General features: G+C 47.9%; 1 protein-coding gene across 36 annotated transcripts in view; it reads left to right on the plus strand.

The window, feature by feature from the left end:
* Positions 1-14,034, plus strand: part of SLC5A11 (solute carrier family 5 member 11) — a 65,664-nt gene that overhangs the window by 23,089 nt on the left and 28,541 nt on the right. For 21 of the 36 annotated variants that reach the window (NR_147935.2, NR_147934.2, NR_147936.2 and 18 more), the window contains 4 exons: positions 850-954; positions 3,109-3,168; positions 6,576-6,680; positions 8,207-8,312. Coding sequence is in view for 26 of the 36 variants with exons in the window: in XM_047433573.1 (XP_047289529.1) it covers positions 850-954; positions 3,109-3,168; positions 6,576-6,680; positions 8,207-8,312 (376 nt within the window). In the remaining 10 variants the exon portion in view is untranslated. Of the gene's footprint in view, positions 1-849; positions 955-3,108; positions 3,169-6,575; positions 6,681-7,939; positions 8,083-8,206; positions 8,313-14,034 lie in introns of all 36 variants that reach the window. The other 15 variants (NR_147933.2, XM_011545725.3, XM_047433574.1 and 12 more) reach the window with 5 other exon arrangements.

A 14,034-nucleotide genomic window follows, 5' to 3' on the forward strand; every position in this document is an offset into this window, starting at 1 on the left:
GAGACGGGGTTTCACCATGTTGGCCAGGCTGGTCTGAAACTCCTGACCTCAAGTGATCCGCCTGCCTCAGCCTCCCAAGGTGCTGGGATTACAAACGTGAGCCAGAGCGCCCGGCTGGACCTGCCTTTCTTGCAGGTCTCATTCTCCCCTGTCTCTGAACTGGCAGTGATGAGCAGCACAGGGTGAAACATGCCTCCACACCACTCCCTCACCCCCAGCACACACACACCTCACTGGTTCAATATCTCCAGTCCAAGGGACCCGCAGAGACGGTGTCCCCGTTCCAAATTCCCAGGAAAGAGAATATAATTTGCTCAGCTTGGGCCAGGTACCCAGGCCTGTCCAGCCCAATCAGTTGAGACCAGGGAGACCAGGGATTGGCATCAGCAAGTACAGCACTAGCCATTTAGTGCTATACCAAGAAGACTATCTACTTTGATAAGTAAGAAGCAGATCTGGGGGAGTAACACAGGCTTCCTGATTCTCATCATGAATCACTTTCTACATTACCTGTCACCTTCTTTCCCGACCCCCGACCCCCGCAGGGATACTGCATATAGTTGTTGAAGCTGTGCACTGCACAACCCTACAGGGTGCAATCTGCATTTTAGGCCCTGTAGTCCTGAATATTTATTCTACCAATTTCTGACAGGTGGGCTCTGACCAAGTAAGAGTCTTGGGGAAGAAGAATCTCATTCTAATGTAAACAAAAATGCCAGATAGGCTAGGGGTGGCCCTGCCTTCCTCTACTTCTCTTCTCTGTCCCTTTGGAGCATGGAAATAATTGGGGGTGGGGAGCAGGTACCCTTGACTTTGTCTCCAAGATCTGACCCGTCCATCTCCCCACAGGTGGGTGCATCCTTGTTTGCCAGCAATGTTGGAAGTGGACATTTCATTGGCCTGGCAGGGTCAGGTGCTGCTACGGGCATTTCTGTATCAGCTTATGAACTTAATGTAAGTATTTTACCTAGGGCATAGATGACATCTTACCTCTACCTAACAGGTAGATCTCAGGGGAAAGTTGTGTGAATGCCCTGCACTTTAAAAATAGAATGGTGGGGCCAGGCGCGGTGGCTCACGCCTGTAATCTCAGCACTTTGGGAGGCCAAGGCAGGTGGATCACCTAAGGTCAGGAGTTCGAGACCAGCCTGGCCAACGTGGCGAAACCCCGTCTCTACTAAAAATACAAAAAATTAGCCGAGTGTAATGGCGGGCGCCGTAATCCCAGCTACTCGGGAGGCTGAGTTAGGAGAATCATCTGAACCCGGGAGGCGGAGGTTGCAGTGAGCAGAGATTGCACTACTGCGCGCCAGCCTGGGTGACAAGAGTGAAACTCCGTCCCCCTCCCCACAAAAAAACAAAACAAAACAAAACAAAAAAAACAAAAAAAAACACACACACACACACACACACAAACCCAAAAAACACAAAAAAAAAACAATAGTGGGTTGGGCGCGATGGCTCAGGCCTGTAATCCCAGCACTTTGGGAGGCCAAGGTGGGCGGATCTTTTGAGGTCAGGAGTTTGAGACCAGCCTGGCCAACATGGTGAGACTCCATCTCTACTAAAAATACAAAAATTAGCCAGGCTTGGTGGTGCATGCCTGTAATCCTAGCTACTCAGGAGGCTGAGGCAGGAGAATCACTTGAACCTGGGAGACAGAGGCTGCAGTGAGGTGAGATTGTAACACTGCACTTCAGCCTGGGCGACAGAGTGAGACTCTGTCTCACAAAAAAAAAAAAAAAAAAAAAAAGGGTGTGTGAAGAAGAGGGCTCAGATTCCTGTCCTAGAGATGCAGAAGAAAGATGGTGAAGACTGAAGCGTATTTCTGTGTACTTTAGACGTCAATCGGCCATCACAAAAATTTTACAGCTCAGTAGTTTTTGACTTTGTTTGCTACCTCTGAGATACTCAAGGGATAAGATACACTCTCGTATATAGCAGGGCTCATTTGGGATATGATTTTTACTGGGGTCAGGGCAGGGAGGGGATTATTAATAATGATCATTGCCTTCATAATGTCCAATATTTTTGGATGCTTATTCTATGCCAGGAACAGACTTTGATATGTTCCATATGCTATCACATTATAGGATTCATTTACAAATTAGACCCACACTGCCTGGGTTTACATTCTTGCTCCAACACGTATAAACTTCAGCAGCAAGTTGCTTTTTGTGTGACCTTGGGTGGCAAGTGTTATTTCTGCTTGTTTGTTTTGTTTTGTTTTGTTTTTTGAGACAGGGTCTCGCTCTGTCGCCCAAGCTGGAGTGCAGTGGTGTGGTCATGGCTCACTGCAACCTCCACCTCTCAGGCTCAAACCATCCTCCCACTTCAGCCTCCCAAGTAGCTGGGACCACAGGTGCACGCCACCATGCCTAGCTAATTTTCATATTTTTTTGTAGAGACGGGAATTTCACTATGTTGCTCAGGTTGGTCTTAAACTCCTGGGTGCAAGCGATCCACTGGCTTCTGCCTGCCAAAGTGCTGGGATTACAGGCGTGACTCACCGCACCCAGCTGGGCAAGTTTCTTAACCTCTCTGAGCCTCATGTACATAATAGGCATATTAATGGTACCTGTTATGTAGAACCATTATGAGGGTCAAATGAATTAATGCTTGTAAAGGGTGCAGAGAGGCGCCTGGCATACAGTACTCATTAAGTATCATCTTCCTGATTTCCTTGCAACCACTTAGTGAGGCACTGATATGCCCATTTTCCAGGTGAGAAAAATGAGTCTCGGAGACCTGTGTTAACTCTTGTGGTCGTCTTTGAACCCAGATCTGCCTGCTGTCATGGTCTTGTTTTAATCACTGCTGAGGAGGGGAGGGGGCACAACTGGATGAAGTGATGACATGATGTTTAGGAGACACAGAACTAGGAAGCATCGCAAAGGCCTTCTTTTTCCACTCTCCTCTTCCTTCCCGAATCCATTCCCCATGTTAAAAAAGGAAATTTGAAGGCCAGCACAGGTGAACCACTCAGCGAGTAAGAGACTACACCAGAGGTGGAGTTCAGGCCAGGCTGCCTCAGGGCGCAGAGGGAAATCCAAATGGGTACCTTGTTGTGAGCTGGGGGCCAAGTCCTGACTGTGTTTTCTTGAGCAGGGCTTGTTTTCTGTGCTGATGTTGGCCTGGATCTTCCTACCCATCTACATTGCTGGTCAGGTGAGTCGGGGGACATTGGGATGCTGTAGAATTGAAAGATGCTTTGGGAATCTCAGCCCTGCAGTCCCTCCCTCATCCCGCCATCCCTCCCTCCTGCCCATGGTCATGTATTCGATTGCCACTCAGAGGCCCCAGTAAAGGGGAGGGATGATCCACAGGTGAGACAATGAGGAACCCAGTCCATAGCACTTCCTGCCAGTACCCAACATCCAAGGCACACAGAAGGCATTTGGAGGTTGGAAAAAATATGGACCCCAAAATTTTAAATACCAAAACACAAATGTAAAGCTCACAATCTCTTTTAAATGTTTAAATCACAACATGTTTCTGCTATATTTTTTTGAGACAGGGTCTGGCTTTGTCCCCAGGATGGAATGCAGTGGTGCAATCTTGGCTCACCTGGTCTCACCAGCCTCCCCAGCAGCTAGGACCACAGATGCAAGCCACCACACCCAGCTAATTTTTGCATTTTTTTTTTAGTAGAAAATACAAAAATCCTGCCATGTTACCCAGGCTGGTCTCGAACTCCTGGGCTCAAGTGATCTGCACACCTCAGCCTCCCAATCTGAGTAGCTGGACTTACAGGCATAAGCCACCATGCCCAGCCTATGTTTCTGCTTTTTGCTAAAAAATAAAAATAAAAGTATATAGCTTATGCCTGTAATCCTAGCACTTTGGGAGGCCAAGGCAGGCAGGTCACTTGAGCCTAGGAGTTCGAGACCAGGCTGGGCAACATGGTGAAAACCTGTCTCTACTAAAAAAATACAAAAATTAGCCAGATGTGGTGGCAGGTGCCTGTAGTCCCAGCTACTCGGGAGGCTGAAGTGGGAGAATTGCTTGAACCCAGGAGGTGGAGTAAAGTAAGCCAATATCACACTACTTAACTCCTGCCTGGGTGACAGAGTGGGACTCCGTCAGAAGGAAAGGAAAGGAAAGAAGGAAAGGAAAGGAAAGGGGAAAGGGGAAAAGGGAAAGGGAAAGGAGAAGAAGGAAGGAAGAGAGAAAGGAAGGAATGGAGAGAGGGAGGGAGGAAGGAAGGAAGGAAGGAAGGAAGGAAGGAAGGAAGGAAGGAAGGAAGGAAGGAAATAAATATAATGTACCCTGCAAGCCTTTAGAAAATCACAATGCTGGCTGGGCACAGTGGCTCAGGGCCATAATCTCAGCTCTTTGGGAGGCTGTGGTGGGAGGATTGCTTGAAGCCAGGAGTTTGAGACCAGCCTGGGCAACACAGTGAGACCCCCATCTCTACAAAAATAATTAAAATAAAGAATTAGCTGAGACTGGTGGTGTGCACCTTTAGTCCCAGCTAGTCAGGAGGCTGAGGCAAGAGGATGGGAGACTGAGGAGGAGGATTGATTGCTTGAACCCAGGAGATCAGGGCTGCAGTGAGCTATGATTGTACCACTGCACTCCAGCCTGGGTGACACAGCGAGACCCCGTCTCTAAAAAAGAAAAATCACAATGCCTTCCCTTCTCCTTGGCTTTCCTATTAAGTAATTACTCCCTTGCTTTTATTTACAGTTTTAATTCTGCATACCTGAACAATGCAGTTGAATTTTACTTTTTTTGGTGAAGGGTGGGTCATAGATAATTGAAAACTGGAGTAATTTTTTTTTTTTTTTTTGAGGCAGAGTTTCGCTCTGCTGCCCAGGCTGGAGTTGCAGTGGCATGATCTCAGCTCACTGCAACATCTGCCTCCTGGGTTCATGCAATTCTCCTCCCTCAACCTCCCAAGTAGCTGGGATTACAGGTGCACACCACCACGCCCGACTACTTTTTGTATTTTTAGTAGAGATGGGGTTTCCCCATGTTGGCCAGGCTGTTCTTGAACTCCTGGCCTCAGGTGATCCACCCACCTCAGTCTCCCAAAGTGCTGGGATTACAGGTGTGAGCCACCGCACCCAGCTTGGAGGTAATATTCTTTTGTTACATGTAGCTGATGTGTTAATTTTCATTGCTATGCGGTATCGTGTAGTGTGACTCACATTCCAATATATTTATCCATTCTGTTGTGCATGGGCGTTTAAGTTGCTCCCAGTATTGGTCTATGATAGACAGCACTGCTGTGAACATTTTTATAAATGTGTTCTTCTACACATAGACAAGCATTGGTGAGAGAATCTACCTCTAAGTGGAATTTCTAGGTCATTGGATATGTTCATCTTTGGCTTTACAAGATATTGACAAACATTTTCCCAGAGTAGTTCTATCCATTTATATTCCCACCAGCAGTGTATGAAAATTCCCTTTCCTGCAATTCAGCGTATCCTTGGTTACATTTTATATTCTCCAACTTAAAGATTCTTGCGAATTTGGTGCATGTGTAGTGATATCTCACTGCTTTTTAAAATTTTTTTGAGACAGAGTCTTGCTCTGTCGCTCAGGCTGGAGTGCAGTGGCGTGCCCTCAGCTCACTGCAACCTCCGCCTACCTGGGTTCAAGCAATTCTTGATTCTCCTGCCTCACTCCGTCCCCCACCACACACACACTGCCCCAGTAGCTGGGACTACAGCCACCATGCCCAGCTAATTTTTGTATTTTTAGTAGAGACGGGGTTTCGCCAAGTTGTCCAGGCTGGTGTTGAACTCTTGACCTCAGATGATCCTCCCACCTCACCTCCCAAAGTGTTGGGATTACAGGCCTGAGCCACCGCACCTGGCCATCTCACTGTTTTTAATTGGCAACTCTTTTTATACATTTTCCGGCCATTTGGATTTCCTCTTTGAGGAAGTAACTTGTCTAGGACTTTTGTCCATTTTTCTATTAGGTTATATGTCTTTAAAAAAAAATAGAGATGGGGTCTTACTGTAGCAATAGAGATGTTGCCCAGGCTGGTCTTGAACTCCTGGGCTCAAGCAGTCCTCCCACCTTGGCCTCCTAAAGTGCTAGGATTACAGGTGTAAGCCATCGTGCATGGCCTCACAATTAAATCTATTATCCGCCTAGAATTTGTTTTTGTCTACCATATGTATGTCTTTTGAGGCAGGGTCTCCCTGTCACTTAGGCTAGAGTGCAATGGCATGATCATGGCTCACTGCACCCGCGACCTCCTGAGCTCAGGCTCAAGTGATCCTTCCACCTCAGCCACCTGAGTAGCTGGGACTACAGGCGCCTGTCACCACGCATGACTAAATTTGTATTTTTTGTAGAAATGGGGTTTCACCATGTTGCCCAGTCTGGTCTCAAACTGCACTCAAGTGATTCCCCTTGCCTTAGTCTCCCAAAGTGATGGGAACCAACTGTGCTGGGCCCCTCTCCTCCCTTCTTAAGTATCAGGTTGAGAATCCCAAGAAGACCATCTGTGCTCTGAGTTGCGGGGGCAGGAGCAGATGGGAAGGGCTTGTGTGGGGGGGTCACGTGCTGGTGGTGAAGTCCGCTGGTGGTGAAATCTCAGCTCTGGCCCTCAGGTCACCACGATGCCAGAATACCTACGGAAGCGCTTCGGTGGCATCAGAATCCCCATCATCCTGGCTGTACTCTACCTATTTATCTACATCTTCACCAAGATCTCGGTAAGGCAGGGACACAGCCTGGCCTCACCCATGCAGCATGGGGAGAAGATAAGGCACAGATCATTGCTCAGGAGTGTCTCCTCGCTATCCCCTTTCTCCTCGTCTTTCATAGGCTGCAGGGAGATTAGAGGAAGATGGCATGGGGGGAGGTAAGCGTGGACAGAGGGAATTGGGAGAAAATGGTTGGGTGCAGTGGCTCACGCCTGTAATCTCAGCACTTTGGGAGGCTGAGGCAGGTGTATCACTTGAGGTCAGGAGTTTGAGGCCAGTCTGGCCAACATGGCGAAACCCCATCTCTACCAGAAAATACGAAAATTAGCCAGGCGTGGTGGCTGATGCCTGTAGTCCCAGCTATTCGGGAGGCTGAGGCAGGAGAATTGCTTGAGCCCAGAAGGCGGGGGTTGCAGTGAGCCAAGATCATGCCACTGTACTGCAGCCTGGGTGAAAGAGCGAGACTCTGTGTCAAAAAAAAGAAAAAAAAAAAAAAGAAGAAATTGGGAGAAAAGGTAGAGGAAAGGAGGGAAGGACTTTCTCTCCTACTCCTGCCAAAGCTTCTTTGTCAACATCTCAGGATGATGTGGGTTGATCAATGGGACTCCAAGAACCCTGCCAACCCTTGGATAGGACTGTTCTCTTCCTCCTGGAATTAGACAGTGATCAGCTGTTTATCCGATGTGCTGTTGGCTGATTGCGCTGCCCCACCCTGACCTTTGGATGGGCAGATCTCCTAGGAAGTGGCAAAGAACAGGTGTATTGCAACCTCCAGACATGTGCCCCTCAGCAGAAGCTGTCTTCGCTTCCAGCCAGGGAGGAGGGAGGAGCTTGTCCTATGGGAAGGGGTGAGGGGGAGCAGAAGGGGTTCCGTTCAATCCAAACAACAATAAGTGAATCTACGCCAGCTCCAGACTGCAGGACAGACAACACAGGCTCCTTTCTAGAATGTTCACTTGCAGTCTGGTGGGAAGCTGCAGATGTGGGAAGCCTTCTAGGGGAAGTTACATCCCAGGAGGAACTTACAGTTAGAGAAAGGGGATTGGCCCTCCAGACGGAAGCACCAGCACAAGTGAAATCTGGGAGGCCCAGGTACACATGACTTGTTGAGAAACAGAGGGTATTTCAGAGTCTGTGGAGGTCTGGGAGTACGAAGTGAGTATTTAGCCTCATTTATTTAGCCTTTATCTTGGGGGCAATGGGGGAGTCACTTAAGAGTTTGAGTGGGGAGGAGAAGGGTGATGTGATCATTATGGTATTTAATGAAGGTTGCAGTGTGGAAGATGGAGTGGGAGAGGACCAAAAGCAGAAGCAGGAAGACCATTGAGGAGGCTGCTGCATCAGCCCAGGGCCCACAGGGCTCCAGCTGAAGACCCCTGATCTGGGATGCAGTGGATTAACAAGGGATGACGTATGACTCTTCTGTGTTTGTCAGCATCTAGGCTAGGCCCTGATCCCAGGGAACCTGTGCTGCAAATGTCCACTCATTCATTCATTCGTTCATTTGTTCATCCATCAACCTCCTTTCTTCACAGGTAGACATGTATGCAGGTGCCATCTTCATCCAGCAGTCTTTGCACCTGGATCTGTACCTGGCCATAGTTGGGCTACTGGCCATCACTGCTGTATACACGGTTGCTGGTAAGACTGAACAAAGGGTAACACCTAGCAGAGGCAGTGGGCAGGGGCTGTGGGCCACTCTACCTTCTCCTTGCCCATCTTCTGATGTTCCATTGTGCTAAGACCCATTTATTCATTAAACGTCACTCCTTTACCCTAGATAAAAAGATTTCTCCTGACCATTATCCAAAGGAAGGGGGTTACCTGATAAGATAAAGCTTTTTAGGTTGGGCTCGGTGGCTCATGCCCGTAATCCCAGCACTTTGGGAAGCCGAGGCAGGTGGATCACTTGAGGCCAGGAATTCCAGACCAGCCTGGCCAACATGGCAAAATCCCATCTCTACTAAAAATAGAAAAATTAGGCCAGGCACGGTGGCTTACGCCTGTAATCCCTGCACTTTGGGAGGCCAAGGTGGGTGGATCACGAGGTCAGGAGTTCAAGACCAGCCTGACCAACATGGCAAAACCCCATCTCTACTAAAAATACAAAAATTAGCCAGGCATGATGGCCCGTGCCTGAAATCCCAGCTACTCAGGAGGCCGAGGCAGGAGAATCACTTGAACCCGGGAGGCGGAGGTTGCAGTGAGCCAAGATCGCGCCACTGCACTCCAGCCTGGGTGACAGAGCGAGACACCAGCTCACAACTACAACAACAAAAAATTAGCCGGGCATGCTGGCAGACTCCTGTAATTCCAGCTACTCAGGAGGCTGAGGCAGGAGAATCGCTTGAACCCCGGTGGGGCGGACGTTGCAGTGAGCCAAGATGGTGTCATTGCCCTCCAGCCTGGGTGACAGAGCGAGACTCCGTCTCAGAATAAAAAAAGATAAAGCATTTTTAAAATGCACCACAATGGCATAATGTTTTTTCCCATTCATGTATCCCAGAACTGTTTCTTGAGCACCTACTAACTGCTGAGCCATGTGCACTCACAGGCACAATACAAGGCTGGATAATAAACTACTGCAATCCTGGAGCCTGAGGGCAGGTAACCTCATCTCTCCGCCTCATACCTGTATCCTAGAAGAGTGCCTGGCACGCAGTAGGGCCTTGAGAAGTACCTGTTTTTAAATATTTATTATCTCATCTTCCACTCTATTTTCACCCTTTTCCGCCTCCTCTTGGCTTGATATAACTCATTCCATATATATGTGTGTGTCTGTTTGTGTCTGTGTGTGCCTGTGTGTGCACAGACACAAACACACTGGTATCTCTATATTATGTACCTTGTATCTATATATCATGTATTTACATACACAGGTATGTGTATATGGATATACATTTCCTACTGTGTGCCAGACATCATGCCAGGGAGTGAGGCACAGATGTAAGCAAGACAAATATCTCTACTCCAGAGGAACTTATTGAGGATGGGAGACAATGAACAGGGAAATCAATAAATAATGTTAGGCCAGGTGTGGTGGCTCACGTGTGTAATCCCAACACTTTGGGAGGCCGAGGCGGGTGGATCACCTGAGATCAGGAGTTCTAGACCAGCCTAGCCAACATGGCAAAACCCGGTCTCTACTAAAAATACAGAAAAATTAGCTGGGCATGATGGCACATGCCTGTAATCCCAGCTACTCGGGAGGCTGAGGCAAGAGAATCACTTGAACCTAGGAGGCGGAGGTTGCAGTGAGCCAAGATCACACCACTGCACTCCAGCCTGGGCAACAGAGTGGGACTCTGTCTCAAAAATAAATAAATAAATATGTCAGTGTATATTATTATAACCTGAGAAGTGCTATAAGGAAAAATTAATTGGGGTGAAGAGATGGAGGACAGGTTTTTTTTGGTTTTTTGTTTTTTTTTTACATAGAATATTCAGCTAAGGCCTCTCTAAGGTGATATCTCAACCAATTTTTTTTTCACCTTCGACTTTGATTTTAGATTCAGGAGGTACATGCAGGTTTGTTAATAGGTATATTGCATGATGCTGAGGTCTGGGGTACGAATGGATCCATTAGTCCACGTAGTGAGCATAGTACCCAATGGGTAGTTTTTCAACTGGTATCCCCCTCCCTCTCCCTCCTCTAGTAGTCCCCAATTCCCTTATTCAAGTCCATGAGTACCCAATGTTTATTCAGTTTCCACTTATATGTGAGAACAGGTGGGCCAGGCATGGTGGCTCACTCCTGTAATCCCAGCACTTTGGAAGGCCAAGGTGGGAAGATCACCTGAGGTCAGGAGTTCCAGAGCATCCTGGCCAACATGGTGAAACCCATTCTCTACTAAAAATACAAAAATTAGCAGAGTGTGGTGGCAGGTGCCTGTAATCCCAGCTATGTGGAAGGCTGAGGCAGGAGAATCTCTTGAACGCAGGAGGCAGAGGTTGCAAGGTTGCAGTGAATGGAGATCACACCACTGCACTCCAGCCTGGGCAACAGAGCAAGACCCCATCTCAAAGAAAAAGAAAATAAACAAATAAGTGAGTGGTTTTCTGTTCCTGCATTAATTCACTTAGGATAAGGGCCTCCAGCTGCATTCATGTGCTGCAAAGGTTATGATTTTGTCCTTTTTAATGGCTGTGTAGTATTTCGTGGTATATCTGTACCATATTTTCTTTATCCAATCCACTGTTGATGGGCACCTGTGTCAATTCCATGTCTTTGCTATTGTGCGTAGTATTGTGATGAACATATGAGGGCATGTGTCTTTTTGGTAGGATGACTTATTTTCCTTTGGGTACATACCCAGTAGTGGGATTGCTGGTCAAATGATAATTCAATTCTCAGTTCTCTCTCCACAGTGGCTGAACTAATTTACACTCTGTATTAGTCCATTCTCACACTGCTATGAAGAACTACCCGAGACTGGATAATTTATGAAAAAAAAAAGAGGTTTAATTGACTCACAGTTCCACAGGCTTAACAGGAAGCATGGCTAGGAGGCCTCAGGAAACTTACAGTCATGGTGGAAGGCAAAGGGGAAGTAAGCACGTCCTACCATGATGGAGCCGGAGAGAAAGAGTGAAGCGGGAGGTGCTACACACTTTTTTCTTTTCTTTTCTTTTTGAGATGGAGACTTACTCTTTCATGGCTGGAGTGCAATGGTGCAATCTCAGCTCACCACAACCTCCACCTCCTGGGTTCAAGCAATTCTCCTGCCTCAGCCTCCCAAATAGCTGGGATTACAGGCACGTGCCACCATGCCCAGCTAATTTTGTGTTTTTAGTAGAGACAGGGTTTCTCCATGTTGGTCAGGCTGGTTTCGAACTCCCATCCTCAGGTGATCTGCCCGCTTCGGCCTCCCAAAGTGCTGGGATTACAGGCATGAGCCACCGTGCCTGGCCTAGTGCTACACACTTTTAAACAACCAATTCTCATGAGAACTCTATCACCAGACAGCACTGGGGATGGTGCTGAATCATTAAAATCACCCCCATAATCCAATCACCTCCCACCAGGACCCTCCCCCAACACGCGGGGATTACAATTCAACATGAGATTTGGGTGGGGACACAGAGCCAAACCATATCACACTCCCACCAACAGTGCATCAGCATTTCCTTTTCTCCACAACCTCGCCAACGTCGGTTATCTTTTGACTTCTTAATTGTTTTTAAGTTTAAAGCTGTTCTGGCCGGGCACAGTGGCTCACACCTGTAATCCCAGGACTTTGGGAGGCCAAGGCAGGAGGATCAACTGAGGTCTGGAGTTCGAGACCAGCCTGGCCAATATAGTGAAACCCTGTCTCTACTAAAAATACAAAAAAATTAGCCAGGCGTGGTGGCGGGCACCTGTAATCCCAGCTACCTGGGAGGCTGAGGGAGGAGAATCGCTTGAACCCTGGAGGCAGAGGCTGCAGTGATCTGAGATCGTGCCACTGCACTCCAGCCTGGGCAACAGAGCGAAACTCAAATTAAAAAAAAAAAAAAGCTGTTCTGACTGGTGTGAGATGATATCTCATTGTGGTAGTGATTTGTTTTTGTTTGATTGTTTGTTTGTTTGTTTTTCTTTTTTTGAGACAGGGTCTCCCTCTGTTGCCCAGGCTGGAGTGCAATGGTGCAATCTTGGCACACTGCAACCTCCATCTCCCAGGTTCAAGTGATTCTCCTGCCTCAGCCTCCCAAGTAGCTGAGACTACAGGTGCCAGTCACTATGCCCGGCTAACGTTTGTATTTTATGGTAGAGAAAGGGTTTCACTGTGTTGGTCAGGCTGGTCTTGAACTCCTGGCCTCAAGTGATCCGCCTGCATCAGCCTCCCAAAATGCTGGGATTACAGATGTGAACTACTGTGCCCGGCCTGTGATTTGCATTTTTCTGATGATTAGCGATGATGAGCATTTTTTCGTATCTCAACCAAGTTTAAATAACACCCCATGAGCAATGCAGGGGAGGAGAATTCCAGGCTGAGAGAAGGGCTGCAGTAAACACTCTGAGATGAGAACCTGCTTGAGCAAATGGTTATGTAGGCTGTGCCCTATTCCACTCCAGGGGGTGCCATTCACACCAACCAGAGTGAAAATGGCACCCCGTGGCACTGTGCTAAGCAGCAACCCTGGTGGTAAGAGTGGGATTGGAGAAAAGGGCAGGGACCAGAGCTTTGAAGGAAACAAAATGAGCCTTACATTTGTTCTAAGTGCCATGGAATACTATTGGATGCTCTAAACAGAAAATTGACAAAATCTAACATATGCAAAGTCCCCTGATACAGAAAGACCTTGGCTGAGTTCTCAGAACTAGCAGAAGCAATGTGCCTGGGGCAGGGGAAAAGGGGAGGGCAGGCTGCCATAGCTGATGAATGTTGGTGTTCCTTGTTTGGAGGTCTGTGTCCCCCATTAGACTGTAGACTCTATGAGGGCAGGGAACATGCCATTTTGTTGGCCTCTGCATCCCTACCACGTAGAACTTGGTGGGGAGCTCACCGGCTATTTGGTGAAAGACTGAACAAAATGATCCCCACAGTGCCTGGCATATGAGAGATTCTCATCACTGTTAATATAGAAAGGATGGTGGGGTTAAGTGGTACCCAACACCAGGATCTCACCACACTCAGGCTGACTCACTGCATGCGTGAACGGCAGGGAACTGAGGCCAGAATCAAAGCCAGTTCTCCTCCCCTTTGTGAGAGCCCTATTCCTGCTGGGAAGGAAGGAGGGATCCTGGAGAGCACCTCACCCACGGGCACAGGGTTTTTAAATTGTACAGTGACTGTGCCCTCTAGTAGACATGTTTCTATTGGATAAGTGTCCCTTCTCCTCAGGGAAGGAGGAAGAACAGAGGTTTAAGGAAGAGACTGGAAAGATTGCTCTTTCCAGATGCTGATGGATTTGCTACCAGGATCATCATTATGAATTTTTATGTATTTATTTATTCTTTTGAGATGGAGTCTCGCTCTGTTGCCCAGGCTGGCGTGCAGTGGCACGATCTTGGCTCACTGCAACCTCTGCCTCCTGGGTTCAAGTGATTCTCCTGTCTCAGCCTCCCGAGTAGCTGGGATTACAGGCATGCCCCATCACACCTGGCTAATTTTTGTATTTTTAGTAGGGACAAGGTTTCACCATGTTGGCCAGGCTGGTCTTGAACCCCTAACCTCAGGTGATCTGTCTGCCTCAGCCTCCCAAAGTGCTGGGATTACAGGCATGAGCCATCTTTCCCAGCCCATTTCGAAGATTTTTGCAGGTGGCAAACCCAACAAGAATCCTCTGAGGCACCATCACGATCCTCTCCAGGAAGTCTAGGGGGCCTCTGAATACCTAATACTCACATCCTTTATCCAGTCTTAAAAATAAAGGTGTTGGC

This window comes from Homo sapiens, chromosome 16, assembly GCF_000001405.40.
Source record: "Homo sapiens chromosome 16, GRCh38.p14 Primary Assembly".
Taxonomy (NCBI): domain Eukaryota; kingdom Metazoa; phylum Chordata; class Mammalia; order Primates; family Hominidae; genus Homo; species Homo sapiens.